Source organism: Homo sapiens, chromosome 10 (genome assembly GCF_000001405.40).
Source record: "Homo sapiens chromosome 10, GRCh38.p14 Primary Assembly".
Classification (NCBI taxonomy): Eukaryota; Metazoa; Chordata; class Mammalia; order Primates; family Hominidae; genus Homo; species Homo sapiens.
The window spans coordinates 48,823,017-48,838,292 of record NC_000010.11 but is presented as its reverse complement, the minus strand read 5'-3'; the positions used below and the strand labels follow the sequence as shown (position 1 = coordinate 48,838,292).

At 43.8% G+C, this 15,276-nt stretch overlaps 1 protein-coding gene and 1 long non-coding RNA gene across 13 annotated transcripts in view; one reads left to right on the top strand and one right to left on the bottom strand.

The window, feature by feature from the left end:
* The window catches only part of WDFY4 (WDFY family member 4), a 298,084-nt gene that overhangs the window by 144,664 nt on the left and 138,144 nt on the right, over nucleotides 1–15,276 (bottom strand). For 10 of the 11 annotated variants that reach the window (XM_011539988.3, NM_001394531.1, XM_017016463.2 and 7 more), the window contains 4 exons: nucleotides 11,384–11,622; nucleotides 9,397–9,515; nucleotides 7,408–7,593; nucleotides 5,584–5,720 (listed from right to left, as the gene is read on the bottom strand). In XM_011539988.3, the coding sequence (XP_011538290.1) occupies nucleotides 5,584–5,720; nucleotides 7,408–7,593; nucleotides 9,397–9,515; nucleotides 11,384–11,622 (681 nt within the window). Of the gene's footprint in view, nucleotides 1–5,583; nucleotides 5,721–7,407; nucleotides 7,594–9,396; nucleotides 9,516–11,383; nucleotides 15,112–15,276 lie in introns of those variants that run through there. The other variant, XM_011539991.4, reaches the window with a different exon arrangement.
* LOC105378299 (uncharacterized) lies at nucleotides 1,592–6,630 on the top strand. Of its 2 annotated transcripts, XR_945952.3 has the most exons (6): nucleotides 1,614–1,701; nucleotides 2,657–2,751; nucleotides 3,115–3,191; nucleotides 3,580–3,699; nucleotides 4,025–4,090; nucleotides 6,493–6,630. It is a non-coding gene; the product is annotated as an uncharacterized LOC105378299 (long non-coding RNA). The 2 variants fall into 2 exon arrangements; XR_945951.3 differs by lacking the exon at nucleotides 3,580–3,699 and having other exon boundaries at nucleotides 1,592–1,701.

Below are 15,276 nucleotides of genomic sequence, written 5' to 3'. Positions count from 1 at the left end.
CTGCTGGTTTCATTGGAGGTCTCATAGGGCAGCCTTTAGGGGACCCCCAAGAAAGGTGTGAGGCAAACTTCTAATGTTTCCCTGTCCTTGCCAGGGCAGATGTAGAATTCCTACAGAAAGCTTTTGCTTTTTTTAGCAATTCCAGCGGATCATCCTCACGCTTCTGGTGCCCTCTCATCCCATTCTGTTAATTCTTACACAGCCCTGACTTCCCTGCATGGGCCATTTCAGTTTGCTAATACCTGGCTTTGAAAACAGCAACTGGAAGCTTGCTCAGCTATCTCCTAAAGCCATGGAATTGTGGGGAACACAGGGCTCTGCCCTCCTCCGTGTGAATCCTGTTCTTCTATAAGTCCCCCAATCTTTGCTGGCAGGCTGGTGAGTGGGTCCCCCTCCTCTGATGGGGCCTGCCTGGCCCACTGCCTGGGATAGCTGTCCATATGTATACAGTTGATCCCAGGAGGAAAGTGGGCTGAAATCCAGCTTATGCTCTATGTACACAGGTCGGGGGCTGCCCAGAGAGGCTCCCACCCCTTTAAGGGCTGGAAGTCACCTTGTACTCTCAACCCCATTCCTCTGGTTCTTATTTTTCTCCACTCTCTGTGGAATCCCACAGAGCCATCTGAATGCCAGACTTCCCACCCCCAGGTGCTGTCTCTTCTCAGAGCCAGGCCTGCCCTGGGTGGCCCTCTTTTCTCACCTGTCCCAGCCTCACTTGAACAGAATTTTCTGTGTGTTATCGCTGTTCACTACTCCAGCTACAGCTACTGCAGCCCCCACTATCTCCCACCTGAATCACACTACAGCCCCCTGTCACCCACAGTTTGGCTCCCCACCAGGGGCCCTCACCTGTAATCTCACCTATAGGAGCAGATGCCATGACTCTGTTTAACCTCTCACCTACAGGTAAACATGAGTGTCTAGGCTGGCCTGTGGTACCCCCTGACCTGGCTTTTACCCACTGCCTTGGCCCCTTTCTTACCACCTGTTATGTCTCTGGCCTTCTCCCTGCCCGAGAGCTCTCCTCTGCACAGGCTTTGACCTTCCTCCTCCCAGACTCAGCTCTAGGCGTCACCTCCTCCATGGCCCCTTCCTAACCAGCTTCCAGCCCCCTGACTCCTATGCACATTTTCTGATTGCTAATGCTTTTATATAAACAGATGATGACACACATTGCATTTTAGAATATTTTCAATTTTCATAAAAGTTACAAAGATAGTAGAGAGTTTTCATCTACCCTTCACCTGTTTTCCTATAAAGTTATTAACATCCCACATTGCCATGGTGTACCTGTCAAAACTAAGAAACCAACATTGCTTGTTGATGTCTTTTCAGCTGTTTTTAAACAAGGAAGTCTGGAATTGAGTACGTAAGCAGAGCTGAATCCACGGCTGTGAAGAGGGGAGCTGGCCACCCTGTGCAGTCTGGATTCTCCAGGCAGATGGTGGACATGAGAAAGTGGCCTGCACCCTGAGTTGCCCTTTGGTGGCCTCAAGGGAGTCCAAGTTCCCAACCTCTGTCCAACAAGCTGACACTCACAGCCTTCTAGAGATAGTGGGTGATGTCACAATTTGCTCCCACAGGGGACTGTGATGGGGTCAGGGGGAGAAGAAGAAGAAATAACATCTATCAAATCAGCCCTGCCTCAAAGTTCAGCTCACCCACCAGGAATAAAACATTTTCTACTGAAAATGAAGATAGGTAAGAGGAATTATGAATTCTATATCATATGTCTCACTCCAAGGAACAATTTATCAGTGCTATAGGGCTATCAGCTGCTGACATGATAAGGAATAACACCAAATGAATAATGTTTCCTCCAACACCAACTCCTTTAATTACAAGCCTCTTCTTTCCAGAAGAGAGACAGAAGATGCAGAAACCCCAATTTCATGCACTTGTGCCTGAATAATGTCTCCGTGCTGCTTTTTCCAGATGGCGACCTTCTCACTGGAGGGACTAATGATGTGGGCATATTTAGGGAAAAACCAATAACGGAGTCTTTAACCTTCAACAACAAAAAGCATGTTGTACAAAATGTTCCTTGGGATACATTAGAAAATATCAATTACATTGCTCACTGAGGTGTAATCAGCTGTAATAATCAAAATTAATTTTTAAAAATAATTAAACAGACCCCAGGGCAAATAGTTGATGCTCTTATCCTATGACATCACAGTGTACATATGTACCTGAGAAGTTGTGCCTTCTGTTAGCGACAAAGGCATCTCACAGAGTTGAGTGATGGATGCAGTGTCTGAAAGCTGGCAAGTTTCATCTCAGCAAAAGGAGGGGGAGCATCTATCCCCTTGCTCTAAGCACTTCCATCTGCATTCTTTAAGGGCCTACCGTGTAGCAGGCACTGTGCCCATCCAAGACTTAGTTACCAGTACAAGATGTTGCTAAGCAAAGATGCAGTTAATTTTAAAAATTAAAACATAGTCCTTGTTTCCAAAATAATGTGTCTTTTAAAATCTACAAGATAATTTAAAGTGTAGAAAGAAAAAATCAAATTGAAGGGAAAGTGGGGTCAGTGGAGAAGAATGAAGCCAGGGAGAGGGTATGTATGTATGCATTTGTATGCGTAGGTGGCTCAAAAATTTATCCCACTAGTTGTGTGCAATTACAAAAGCTTAACCATGCTTATCTCTCTCAGTTTCTGAGTGTCCAGATCAAAGACAGAAACATAATCTGTTGCAAAATTTCTGCTCTTCTTGAGTTGCTGAAAGTAGTTCTTCCTGGTGCTAAAAGGTGAGGGAGACATTCCCCGTGGCTGCCTGGAAGCTGGGGTGGCTGCGGGTGACTCCCTCCACTTCAGTTCAGCCACACTGGCCTTTGCTGCCCAGCACACATGCACCTCAGTGCCATTGCCCAACTGTCCTCTCTGCCTGATCCTCTTTCCCAGAGCATCTCAAAGCTCATGTTCTTCATAAATTATCTCCTCTGCTCCAAGGCATCCTTGCCAAAGATGACTTTGCTGACCTTCTCCATCTGAACAAGCCCAGCCCCTCTCTCGCCCCCCTCCCTGCCTTACCCTGCATTGTTTTTTCTCATTGCCATCAGTTCTCCCAATATTTACAACTGTATTTGCTTATTGTCTATCTTACTTCCCAGACTGCAGCTCCTTGAGAGAAGAGAATATGTCAGTTTTGTTCTCTGCTGTAACCTCAATGCTGAGAGCAGGGTACAGAGTAAGTGCTCAATAAATATTTGTTGAATGAACAAGTGAATAAGACCTCAATGGATATAGAAGACAAAATCTTCAGCAGCCTGCCCTCACCCAAGACAGAGCCGGCTTTGGATATTCTTTCTCCCAGATCTCTCAATGTGAGCCAAGAGCAAACTGTTAAAAGCCACTTGGGACACCTATGTGGCCCTAAACATGGTGGTCTACTCAGCCTTCTTTCATACGAACTGTTGCTCAATGCATGTCCCCAGGACTCGGAGGCAGCTGAGCTGTATCAATGAGAGTGACTAGAGGGGAAGGGAGAAGGGCATTGGCAAGAGGCAGCATCAACAGGTGTGAGGGTTCCCATGAGATGAATGCCCATGCCCAGCACCCTAACATTCCTTCCCTAGCTCCCAGCCAGGCTGTCCTGACCTCCTGGGGACAATGGCCAAGGAAGAGAAGCTCCATGATGAAGCCAAGGAAAGAGGGGCTGGGCCCCTTCTGTCTCAAGTGACACTGGTCAGGAGCAGGTATATGGGCACAAGTGGGAATGCTCCAAGTTTTAGGACTTGGTACACATATCACCTATAGGATGATCTTGACCTTGGCAGAGAGAGCTAGAAGGCCAAATGGAATTTGTAAACAGTCTCCTATTTCTAAAGCATTTACAGCTTCCAAGGGCTCCACATGCTCTATTATAAACAGAGCATATTCCCAGTGGTAAGTTCAGGAATGAAAGCTCTGAGAGGTTCCATAAATTCCCTAAGGTCCTCCTCAGCAGCACAAAGATGGGATCCTATCTTCACTCTGACATTTAATGACTGAAAAGCCCTTAACTTTCTTTTTTTTTTTCAGATTCAGCTTCCACATTTTTATAACAAGGCTATAATACCTGTCTGATGCAGCTATTACAAAATCTGAGTGAGTTACTCACACATTCACGTATTCAATCAGTGAGTCTATCAATGAACTTATTGAACAGTGCCTTTAACAAGTCAATTCCCTGAGAATACAGCCTGAATAAGACATGTGCTTTGCCCTTAGCTCTTAGCATCAGGTAGCTGGTCAGCCCAGCCATTCATTTCTGGACTTCCCTTCTATGTCTGGACTCTTTCTAGGCCCTGAAGCCTATGATTCCCAAAGCCTGGGAAAAGAAAGGCCTTTTCCTCGGCTGCCTGGGCACTTACAGGCAGTTACAGATTCTGAGCTGGTGGGATTTAGGCTCCACCTCATTTCCCGAAGTTCATGGGCCAAGAGCTGGGATTATGTTAATGTGTCTGTCAGCTGTCTACTTTACCTCCCTGGGGAACCTTTCTGGGTTCTCACAGTTATTTATCCCACTGGGGAGTTAAGTAAACTGCCCAAGGTCTCCTGACCCTACAGCCATGTCTAGCAAAAACCACAGTCCACCTCTGAAGAAGTCAGTGCCCCTGGGATTAGAATATATCACTGGCATTAGAATATATCACAGATCATGCATTTCCAAAAGAGCCTCAGCAACATTTCCAGTCCCACATGTTCCTGCAGAACCTCGTCACTCCCCCATGAGAAGGTGGAGTCTATTTCCCTTCCCTTGAACTTGGGCAGAATTTTTTCCCCATCTTGATGGAGGTGACACTGCATGGCTCCTGAAGCTAGGTCATAAAAGGTAATGCAGTTTCTGCCTGATGAGCTCTCTCTCTCCATTATCTTTTGAAACCCTGCTACCATGCTGTAAGGAAGCCCAGTTCACATGAGGAGGCCATGTGTAGGTGTTCCAGCCAATAGCCCCCCTTAAGGTCTCAGACTAAAGCCAGCACCAACCACCAGATATATGAGTAACTCAGCCTTCCAACGATCCCAACTGAGGCCCCAGACACTGTGGGGCAGAGATAACCTGTCCCCCCACCCACCGTACTCCATATACCTTACAACAACGTTCCTGATCTCTCTCTCTCTCTCTCTCTCTCTCACACACACACACACACACACACACACACACATTGTTGGTGCCAATGAGTTTTAGGAAGACTTGTTTTGCAGGTTTTGAGAAACTGATTAGAAAATCCCAACGGGTCTGCCCCACACAGTAAAGAGGGCCTACCCAACACAGTCAAAGTGGCCCAACCCTGTGTCTCCTGGCAATGAAGTGAATGTTTCTGTCCACCTTTGCTGGGCTCACACCCCTAGCTGCTGCTGAGTGGTGGGCTAGTGCCCTCTGAATACATCTGACTCCAGTTGAGAATGGGAACAAGGAGCCAGCCTAATACAGCCTAAACATAGCCTCCACTGGGGAGCTACATGCATACCCTCAAATGCTCACAAGGACGTGGAGTTAGATCATGTCTAGTAACAGGCAGCAAAGAAGAGATATGACTCATGGGGTTTGAAGCAAATGCCTGATACTTTTCTGAGGAAAAGGGGTCTGGGCTCACCTCTGTCTTGCACTCAGGGTCCTTGGCCTGCCGCCCGGGCATCAGCTTCATGGCTGAGGACAGGCTTCCACTCCACAAAGTGACTTTGCTGTGGTGTGCAACATTTGAACGACTTGCCAGTGACTTCTTCTCAGATGCTGAGGGAAGGGAAGCAAAGAATGTCAGAGGTGAAGTGAGAGCACACACTATTTTTATAGCTAGCTTGGCTTTCAAAGGGCCAGCCAGGGGCATGAGCCCCCTGTGGTTGCCTCCAAAAAGAGAAACAACCCAGGCTACAAGCTCACACTGCCGTCTTCTGACCTTCCTTTGGCTAAGAAACACTGTGGGCTTTGAGGTCACCAGACTTAGCCTAAACTCCTAGCTCCACGGCTTGTTGATCCACAATGAGATGTTGAGCAGATTAACTAAAGTTGCTGAGCCTCAGTTTTCTCATCCTGTGAAATGGGGATAACAATATCTAAACCAGTTGAGGGGTCATGAATATTACATAAGATGTGTTTAAAGACCCTGGAACATAGAAAGTATTCAATATAGGACTGTGGGCAAAAAGAGAGTCATTTGTAAGCTTTACAGTTTTACTACTTTATTCCACTCTATGTGCATGGATATGTATATCCTATTTTACTTTTCTCTGAAATAGAATCTGACATTTTGACTTTAAAAGTACATGAAAGTAGACAGGTATTGCTATCGTTTGAATGTGTGTTCCCTCCAAAATTCATGTTGAAACTTAATCCCAATTGTGGTGGTACTAAGAAGTGGGACCTTTTGGGAGGTGATTAAAATATGAGGGTTCTACGCTCATGAATGAATTAGTGTCTTATAAAAAAGCTGAAGGGGGCCATCCCAGGCCATTTTTGCCCTTCTGTCTCTTCCAACATGGGAGGACACAGCATTTCTCCCTTACAGAGGATATAGCAACAAGGTACCATCTTAGAAGCAGATGCCAGACACAGCCCTCAGCAGGCACCAGATCTACTGGCACCTTGATTTTGAACTTCCCAGCCTCCAGAACTGAGCAAATAAATTTCTATTATTTGTAAATCACTCAGTCTGTGGTATTTTGTTATAGCAGCATAAATGGACAAAACCAGATATGTATATATACACTTGCCAGGACTAATTTATAAAGCCAATTTAGAAGGAGATTCTGGGCCACTGGACAGTCTGGGACAATATACATGGAAATAACTAACTCTTGAATCACTGCACATTTTGTGATTCTGGAAGATGTACAAGTATAGGAGGTGTAAGTTGAGAGCAGTGATCACCTTGAAAACAAAATTAAAAATTCATTCTTGCAGTTGCATTGACTAATATGCAAAAATGTTGTTTATTAGTACCAAATACTAATATGATAAAAATGTTGAGGTCACTAACAGAATAGAATGCAAGGGACATTAATATTTTGGGGATGAAAACTTTCATTTCATGAAGTGACAGGACATGAGGAACCTAAGCTCAAGGACATTGCATGACAGTGAAAGGTTTCAAAGCTGGTCGGTGGATAACAGGGTAGGACCTAGAACCTCAAGTTCCTGAGCCCAGGCCACAGCCTCCACATGGGCCTCTTCCTCTAAGAAATTACTGGAATCTTCCTGCTTGGTTGGCTCCTGTGGCCTTGCTTTCACCCAAGGTGCCATGTGATATTCATTATTTGTGAGGAAAGATACATAAGATTTCAGTGATATAAATCCCATCCACTTAAGGGATGAGACAGAGGGTCCAGGTGGAAAAGGCTCTAGGCACTGAGTTGAACCTTGCGGGAGTCTGGCTCTGTGAGACCCAGGAGTTCCCATTCCCTGGAGCCGAGTGGATAGAGACCTAAGTAATGCTGCCAGGCCTTGAGCATCGTCTCCTCCCAGAGCGGTGTGACCTCTTCAATCTTCACTTCCCTCTCTCCAGGTTTCACAGAGAGATCGATCTTGAAGGCATCCTCCAGGGTCTGCTGCCTTTGTGCCACCAGCTGCTGCCAGAGAGTCTGCACTGTCTTCTGGATGTTGTGTTGGACTAGCAGAGAGAGCACATGGCACACTCAGGATGGCCTCAGTGACCCTCCCAGAGAGGGCTGGGAGATGGTGCATCATGAGTGGTTTTACCCACACCCTTCTCACTTAAGGTCTTGAACATCACCCCAGCTTTGCAAGCTTCAGCGAGAAGCAATCAGTACTGAGAGCCACAGGCCTGACAACAATGCCACCAACACCCATGCAAGCTGGCCTTTCTCCACCTCCACCTGCTTACCACCAATTCCTGCCTGCCTCACATGTCCAGGACTGGGAAACATATCATTTATGAGCTCAGAGACCCTCAACTCTCCACCCCATAATTCTGTTGGATACCAGAGGGACACCTTGTGTGATCTCAGGGTAGTCAAATAGCTCCACTCAAACAGCTCCTTCCAACCTTCCCTTACATGTTGACCTCTCAGGGGAATGGACACCAAGCTCAAGACTATCCTGTGGCTCACGGCTCAGGAACAGCCTGTCCTCTTTCCTGGACCTTGCTTCTCACTACCCACCCATTTCAGTCCCCTGGAATTCTTCAGGTATAAGCAGATCTAACAAACCAACTGTGTCTGCTGTGCCCCACATCTGTAATCCCCTGAACCATGCCTAAATTTTCTCTGATCTTGGACCAATGAGTCCCCTCTCTGGTAACAGCCCCTGGAGACTGTTTCTCTCACCCTAAGGGAATGGACAGTGCCCAGCCCAGCTCTACTGGCCAAGTCCCAAAGTATGTACCTCTGTGTTGTAATCAAAACCATGTCCAACAAACTTCAAAGTCACGAGATTTTTGAGCATGGCAGCTACCTGACCAGAACACAGAGGCCCTGTGTGTACAATCTTTTATTTTTGAGATGAAGTTTTACTCTTGTTGCCTAGGCTGGAGTGCAGTGGTGTGATCTTGGCTCACTGCAACCTCCTCCTCCCAGGTTCAAGTGATTTTCCTGCCTCAGCCTCCCGAGTAGCTGGGATTACAGGTGCCCGCCACTATGCCCAGCTAATTTTTTTGTATTTTTAGTAGTGACAGGCTTTCAGCATGTTGGGCAGGCTGGTCTTGAACTCCTGACCTTAGGTGATCCACCCGCCTTGGCCTCCCAAAGTGCTGGGGTTACAGGTGTAAGCCACTGCACCTGGTCGTGTGTACAATCTTGTATTACAACATATGACTAGGTAAGTGTAACAGTCTGCAAACCAGACTGGCAGAAGGAGTGGCAGAGCTTCTGCTTCCTAGACCAAGAGAGAGCATAATCTCTCAAACACATAGAACTGGCTGCTAGAAAAATAACTGCTAATCCCTTTAACTTGATTTGAGATTAGTAAATCCAAGAATAAACTCCATTAGGCAAAAAGTCTTATAGAGAGTAATGGGTTTGTTTAATCCCTTCTCATTTACTAGGGAATGAAGCTGAGCAGCAACTAGGTAATGGCTTGAACTAAATTAGGTGAGATGGGGAGTGACAGTTTTAATTTACCGTAGAGTACCCTGGGATTAAGCTTCTAGTCAAACCAAGTCCCATGGAGCTTTCTCTTCACCTATGCATCGATTCATTCCTTTCCATTTCATTTCTAGTATACAAAGACCAATCCAGTGTTACTTTCTACCAGCTTGCCTTGCTATATACTAATACATGATTACCCTAGGATTTCCTAAGTCTTCTGGCTTTTTGAAAATGTCCTTAATAGTATCTGCTTTCTTATTTCGGGAAGGACGAACTGAAGAATGCAACCCTAGCAGGTACCACTATCCTGCCACCACCCCCTCCCCGCCCCCCCCCCGCCCACACACACAATGACAAATAAAATGTACCATCACTCAAACTTGGTAAGTCTTCTCTTTTTTCTTTCACGTCTTCATTTGGGGAAAGGAAGACTTGATGATAAGTAGACATTCTAGGCTTGGGCTCCAATCCAAATCCTTCTGGGTAACTAGTGGATAAGAGATTTTTCACTAAAATCCAATAAATTCCAGTTTCCTTGAGACCATTCTATTGTTCTTTATTACAAATAATCATCCTCCAATAATTATCTATATCAATATGGAAAAAAACTTGCCTAATCAAATTAAAGCAAACACTTTATAAGAAATTCCACAGCAGATATTTTAGAGTGGCATTCTGAATAGTAGGAGAAACACTTTCTCCTTATGAGAAGTCTTGTGAAATCCCACCTGTGCTGCCAGCAGTCCCCCTGTGCCCACTCCTGATTCCCCGCCATCAAAACTAGTCATTTCTTTCAGTGCCTTCCCAAAGAATTGAACCCTGCCTTTGTTTGGCATTGATTTCATCCTGCTTGAATGGGGCCAGGGTTGGCTTCATGGGCGTGCAACCTGTGCAATTACACAGGGCCCTGCACTTAGAAGAACCCTTTTTTGGGGCTCTGCTGTCATCATCTTGAAATTTTGGGTATTTTTGGACACAAGCCTAGCATTTTAATTTTGCTGGAGGCCTCACATATGATGTAGCCAGTTGTAAGTGGGGACACAGTGGTTTATACATTAGGTTTCCCATGAACCATGTGCTCTGGGGGTCCCCATTGTGTTAACGTCCACGTGGCCATTATGACACAAACCAAACAGACACTCAGTAAATGTTCATGGATTGAACTGAAAATGACAAACATGGAAAGGAAAATAACCTGACATATGAGAATGCCCATGTTTGAAATTTCTAGAATGAAGTCAATCTTGCTAAACAGAGGGAACTGAGGAGGGTATCATCTCAAGCATATAATTCAGTTGTCATTCTGCTCCTCTTTACCTGTGCTTCCAGGATGGACAAGGCCTAACTCTTGAAACAGGAAGAAAAAAAAAAAACTTCCCCAAATTAAACCACATACTGAAAATGGATTATTTTCTTTCATACAAAGACAAGTGCCTCTCTGGGCTAGGAGGGTTTCCCAGGGCTTCCCAGAGAGTTTTATGAGAAGTCAATGCTAGTGTTTTGTACTGCTCAGTAGTCAACACTACAGGATGTGGGGGATTGTTTTTTTTTCAAGTGATCAAACATAATTTTTGTTAGGATGAATAAAATGAAGAAAAAGGACAACAGCAAAGTGTGATATCCCATTGTCCTCTCTCCCTCTACACTCTCACGGCTCTATTCATAAGACATCATACTCACAGCCAGCAGGATGCTGAGATGCTGGAGAATGTGGTTCATGCACACTGACACGGAGAGAGAGAGACAGAAAGTGAACATAATTCCTGTCTCTCTCTCTGTGTCAGTGTGCATGAACCACATTCAGATTTGGAAATCTGATGTATTTCCAAACTTGGGGCTTCAAGAAAAGGACTCAAATAAGCTTAATTTAATAGCTTTTTAACTAGCATTTTTATGGATGTGATTTTATGTCATACATTGTATGCATATGTAATTTTTTTCCTGAAAGCAAAATTATTCCTGCATTGCACAATACAATGTATTATATTTTTTCCTTTCTAAGATTGCAATTATCAAATGATAATGCTTCTAGAGTCTGGCTGCATCACAAAATCAATGTGTACATCTAATGTTGGCATTTTCTGCCTCAAAAATTAAATCAATGACTTATCTTACAATCCTAGAATTGTGGAAATAGGGTAAATTATTATCTCATGATGATTCTAACTGCTGTCACATGGACAAGTTTGGGGATTACTTACCATGTTATCAAACATTTCACAAAATATGGAAGACCAGATAAACAAAAGGATGATATCATTTATACAGAACTCAGTCCTCAATCAAGCTTTCCTCTAAATCTCTCCTTTCTGCATGGACCACCAGCAGACAAGGAAACAAGTGGGCAGCTCTTACCTTCTCTCATTGAGTAGCAAAAGGCAATGCATGAGACACAGGAGGAAGCTGATGTTGGAATTGTAGGTGGCAAAGACAACATCCCAGTGCTCCTGCAGAAAGCCCAGGATGCTGAGAAGGCCGAGGCATTCGGAGAGGGACTGCTGGGGCTTGGATAGGCAATAAAGAATGACTTTATTTAAACTGCTGTATAAAGTGCTGAGGACAGTGTCCCTTTGAGAAGAGGCAGTCTCAATGACCTGTGTCATTAAAAAAACATACACATACACAAACTTGTGAGTGCTTTACAATTTTAGATACAGATCCAGTTTACCACAAAAATAGTATAATCAAAAAGTGACATGGCTTACCGCCCAAAGTAATTTATAGATTCAATGCTATTCCCATTAAACTACCATTGATATTCTTCACAGAATTAGAAGAAACTATTTTAAAATTCATATGGAGCCAAAAAAGAGCTCATATAGCCAAGACAATCCAAAGCAAAAAAAACAAAGCTGGAGGCATCATGCTACCTGACTTCAAACTATACTATGAGACTACAGTTACCAAACAGTGTACTGTTTTTGTACAGAATTGGTACAAAAACAGACGCATAGACCAATAGAACAGAATAGAGAACTCAGATATAAGACCACACATCTACAACCATCTGATCTTCGACAAACCTGACAAAAACAAGCAATGGGGAAATAATTCCCTATTTAATAAATGGTGCTGGGAGAACTGGCTAGACGTACACAGAAAATCGAAACTGGACCCCTTCGTTATACCTTATATGAAAATTAACTCAAGATGGATTAAAGACTTAAATGTAAAACCCAAAACTATAAAACCTCTCGAAGAAAATCTAGGCAATACCATTCAGGACATAGGCATAGGCAAAGATTTCATGACGAAAATGTCAAAAGCAGTTGCAACAAAAGCAAAAATTGACAATGGGATCTAGTTAAACTAAAGAGCTTCTGCACAGCAAAATAAACTATCATCAGAGCAAACAGGTAACCTATAGAGTAGGAGAAAATTTTTGGAATCTATCCATCTAACAAAGGTCTAATATCCAGAATCTACAGGGAACTTAACAAATTTATAAGAAAAAACCAAACGACCCCATTAAAAATGAGCAAAGGACATGAACAGACATTTCTCCAAAGAAGACATTCAGGTGGCCAACAAATATATGAAAAAAAAAGTGCCATATCACTGATCATTCAAGAAATACAAATCAAAACCACAATGAGATACTATCTCATGCCAGTCAGAATGGCGATTATTAAAAAGTCAAGAAACAACAGATGGGGTGAGGTTGCAGAGCAATAGGAACACTTTTACACTGTTGGGAATGTAAATTTGTTCAACCATCATGGAAGACGATGTGGTGATTCCTTAAAGATCTAGAACTAGAAACACCATTTGACCCAGCAATCCCATTACTGGGTATATACCCAAAGGAACATAAATTATCCTGTTACAAAAATACATGCACGCGTATGTTCATTGCAGCACTATTCACAATAGCAAAGACATGGAATCAACCCAAATGTCTATCAATGATAGATTGGATAAAGAAAATATGGTGTATATATACCATGGAATACTATGAGCCATAAAAAGGAATGAGATCATGTCCTTTGCAGTGACATGGATGGAGATGGAAGCCATTATCCTCAGCAAACTAACACAAGAACAAAAAACTAAATACCACATGTTCTCACTTAAAGTGTGAGCTGAACAATGAGAACACATGGATACAGGGAGAGGAACAACACACACTGGGGCCTGTCAGTGGGTGGGGTGGGGAGAGGGAGAGCATTAGGAAAAATGGCTAATTCATGCTGGGCTTAATACCTAGGTGATGCATTGATAGGTGCAGCAAACCACTGTGACACACATTTACCTATGTAACAAACCTGCACATCCTGCACATGTACCCTGGAACTTGGAAATAAAAATAAAAGTGACATGGCTGGGTATGGTGGCTCACATCTGTACTGCTAGCACTTTAGGAGACCAAGATAAGAAGATCTCTTGAGGACAGGTGTTCAAGACCAGTCTGGGCAGCAACATAGTAAGACCCTATCTTTCCAAAAAGTTAAAAAAAAATTTATCCAGGCAAGGTGGTACATGTCTGTAGTCCTAGCTACTTGGAGGCTGAGATGGGAGGATTGCTTGAGCCCAGGATTTCGAGGCTGAGGTGAACTGCACTCCATCATGCCACTGCACTCCAACCTGGAAGACAGGGCAGGAACTTTGTCTTTTAAAAAAAAATTGACATGACCTGAAATTCTAATAGGACTCATTTCCTCTACTTTCAAGCCTCTATTTAAGGAAATGATCAATCAAGGCTATGCAGAATTTGGGTGAAAATTTGTGTTAAAAAAAGTTGAAAGTTTGTTACAGTCATATTACAGAAAATAGATTTGGTGACCCGAGATTTCTGAAATAATGGTAACATGATTGACATTCAATGTATGAGAACATGCTATTAGTAGTATCTAATTTAAAAAATAGCTATGTGTCATTATTAATGGTTATCATAGAATACTTATAGTATTCCAGGTATTATGCTAAGCATTTTGCACAGATTTGCATATATTGCCTGTTTGTCATAAAAACACCATAGACGCTAAGTTACCCCACTGTACGGATAAGAGGCTAAGGGTCAGAGAGGCTGGGTGGTTCAGCAAGGGTCAAACACACACTGGACACTTAAGCCACGCTCTTAACCACCATATCATCTACTGGAGACGGAGTCCAGAAGATTTTAATTCAAAAGAAACTTAGAGGGAGAAGTAGAAGACCCTGATTTGTAGCCTTAGCATGGACTGGTCCATACATCTCCAAACATCTGTTTGGCTTCCATGAAAAGAATCCATAATACAAAGAGTATGCACAAAGTTTTTCAGTCCGATAGAAAATGAATTTGTTATAGGCTACTCCCTTAGAATTTCACAGGTAACGCAATGTTTCTACTCATGAAGTGAAGGTCTGTTTAAACCTGTTGGGGTTTGGGATTCATTTCTTTATCATGTTCCTCTCCTGCTCCTCAGATGGGTCTCAAACAGAGGTTAAGAGGGGCAGGCATCACAGACAGCAAGCAAGAGAGGAGGCTGGTGGATATGTGGGGAGCCGAGCCCTCAGGCCTGGTCCCCCTGAAAGCACGGTGGCCCCCACTGGCACCTATGTTTGGGATATTAGCTGGGAGTCCATGCTTTAGCCATAGGGAGCTCAGCAGCTTCTTTCCATTTACAACACAACTTGCCAGGAATCTGATTTTAACCCTCACAGAGCTGACAAGGGCTATTTCTCCTCTCTTGGAGTTGTTCCTGAAGAAGCCTTTGAATTCAAGTCTTTCCAGGTTTGCTTGGACCTGCTCATCAGACAAGTGAAGATGGCTCTAGAAACTGTGAAGAGGCCCAGTCCTGAGGTCTGTGGGTGACTCTGCAGTCAGAAGGGTGCTGGGAGCCAATTTCACTCTCTATGAGATGTGAAGAGGAAGGAGAGTGGTCCTCCTAATTCTGCTGCAGAGGGCATAACCAGGACTGCTGGCAGGAGTTGCTGGAGGTAGATCCCAGCTTGATAACAGAAAGTTCTTTCCAAGAATCACAGACATCCCCCTGGGTGGGACAACTTGAATTTTAGGGGGTTCCCCATCACAGGGAGGGTTTGAGCAAAGGTTTCCTGGAGGCTTGTCAGGAAAAGTCTCTAGCTTGTAATGGGGCTGAGATCTAAAAAAAAAAAAGGTCTCTTTCAATGCTGGAATTTTGAGATTGTACGATTCTCTCTGTGTGTATATGCATGCACATACATACACCTACATTCAATGATGGCCCTACAGGTATGCATTTGTACAGGTAGGTATGTAACTATACCTGTTTATCTGGAAAGAAAGG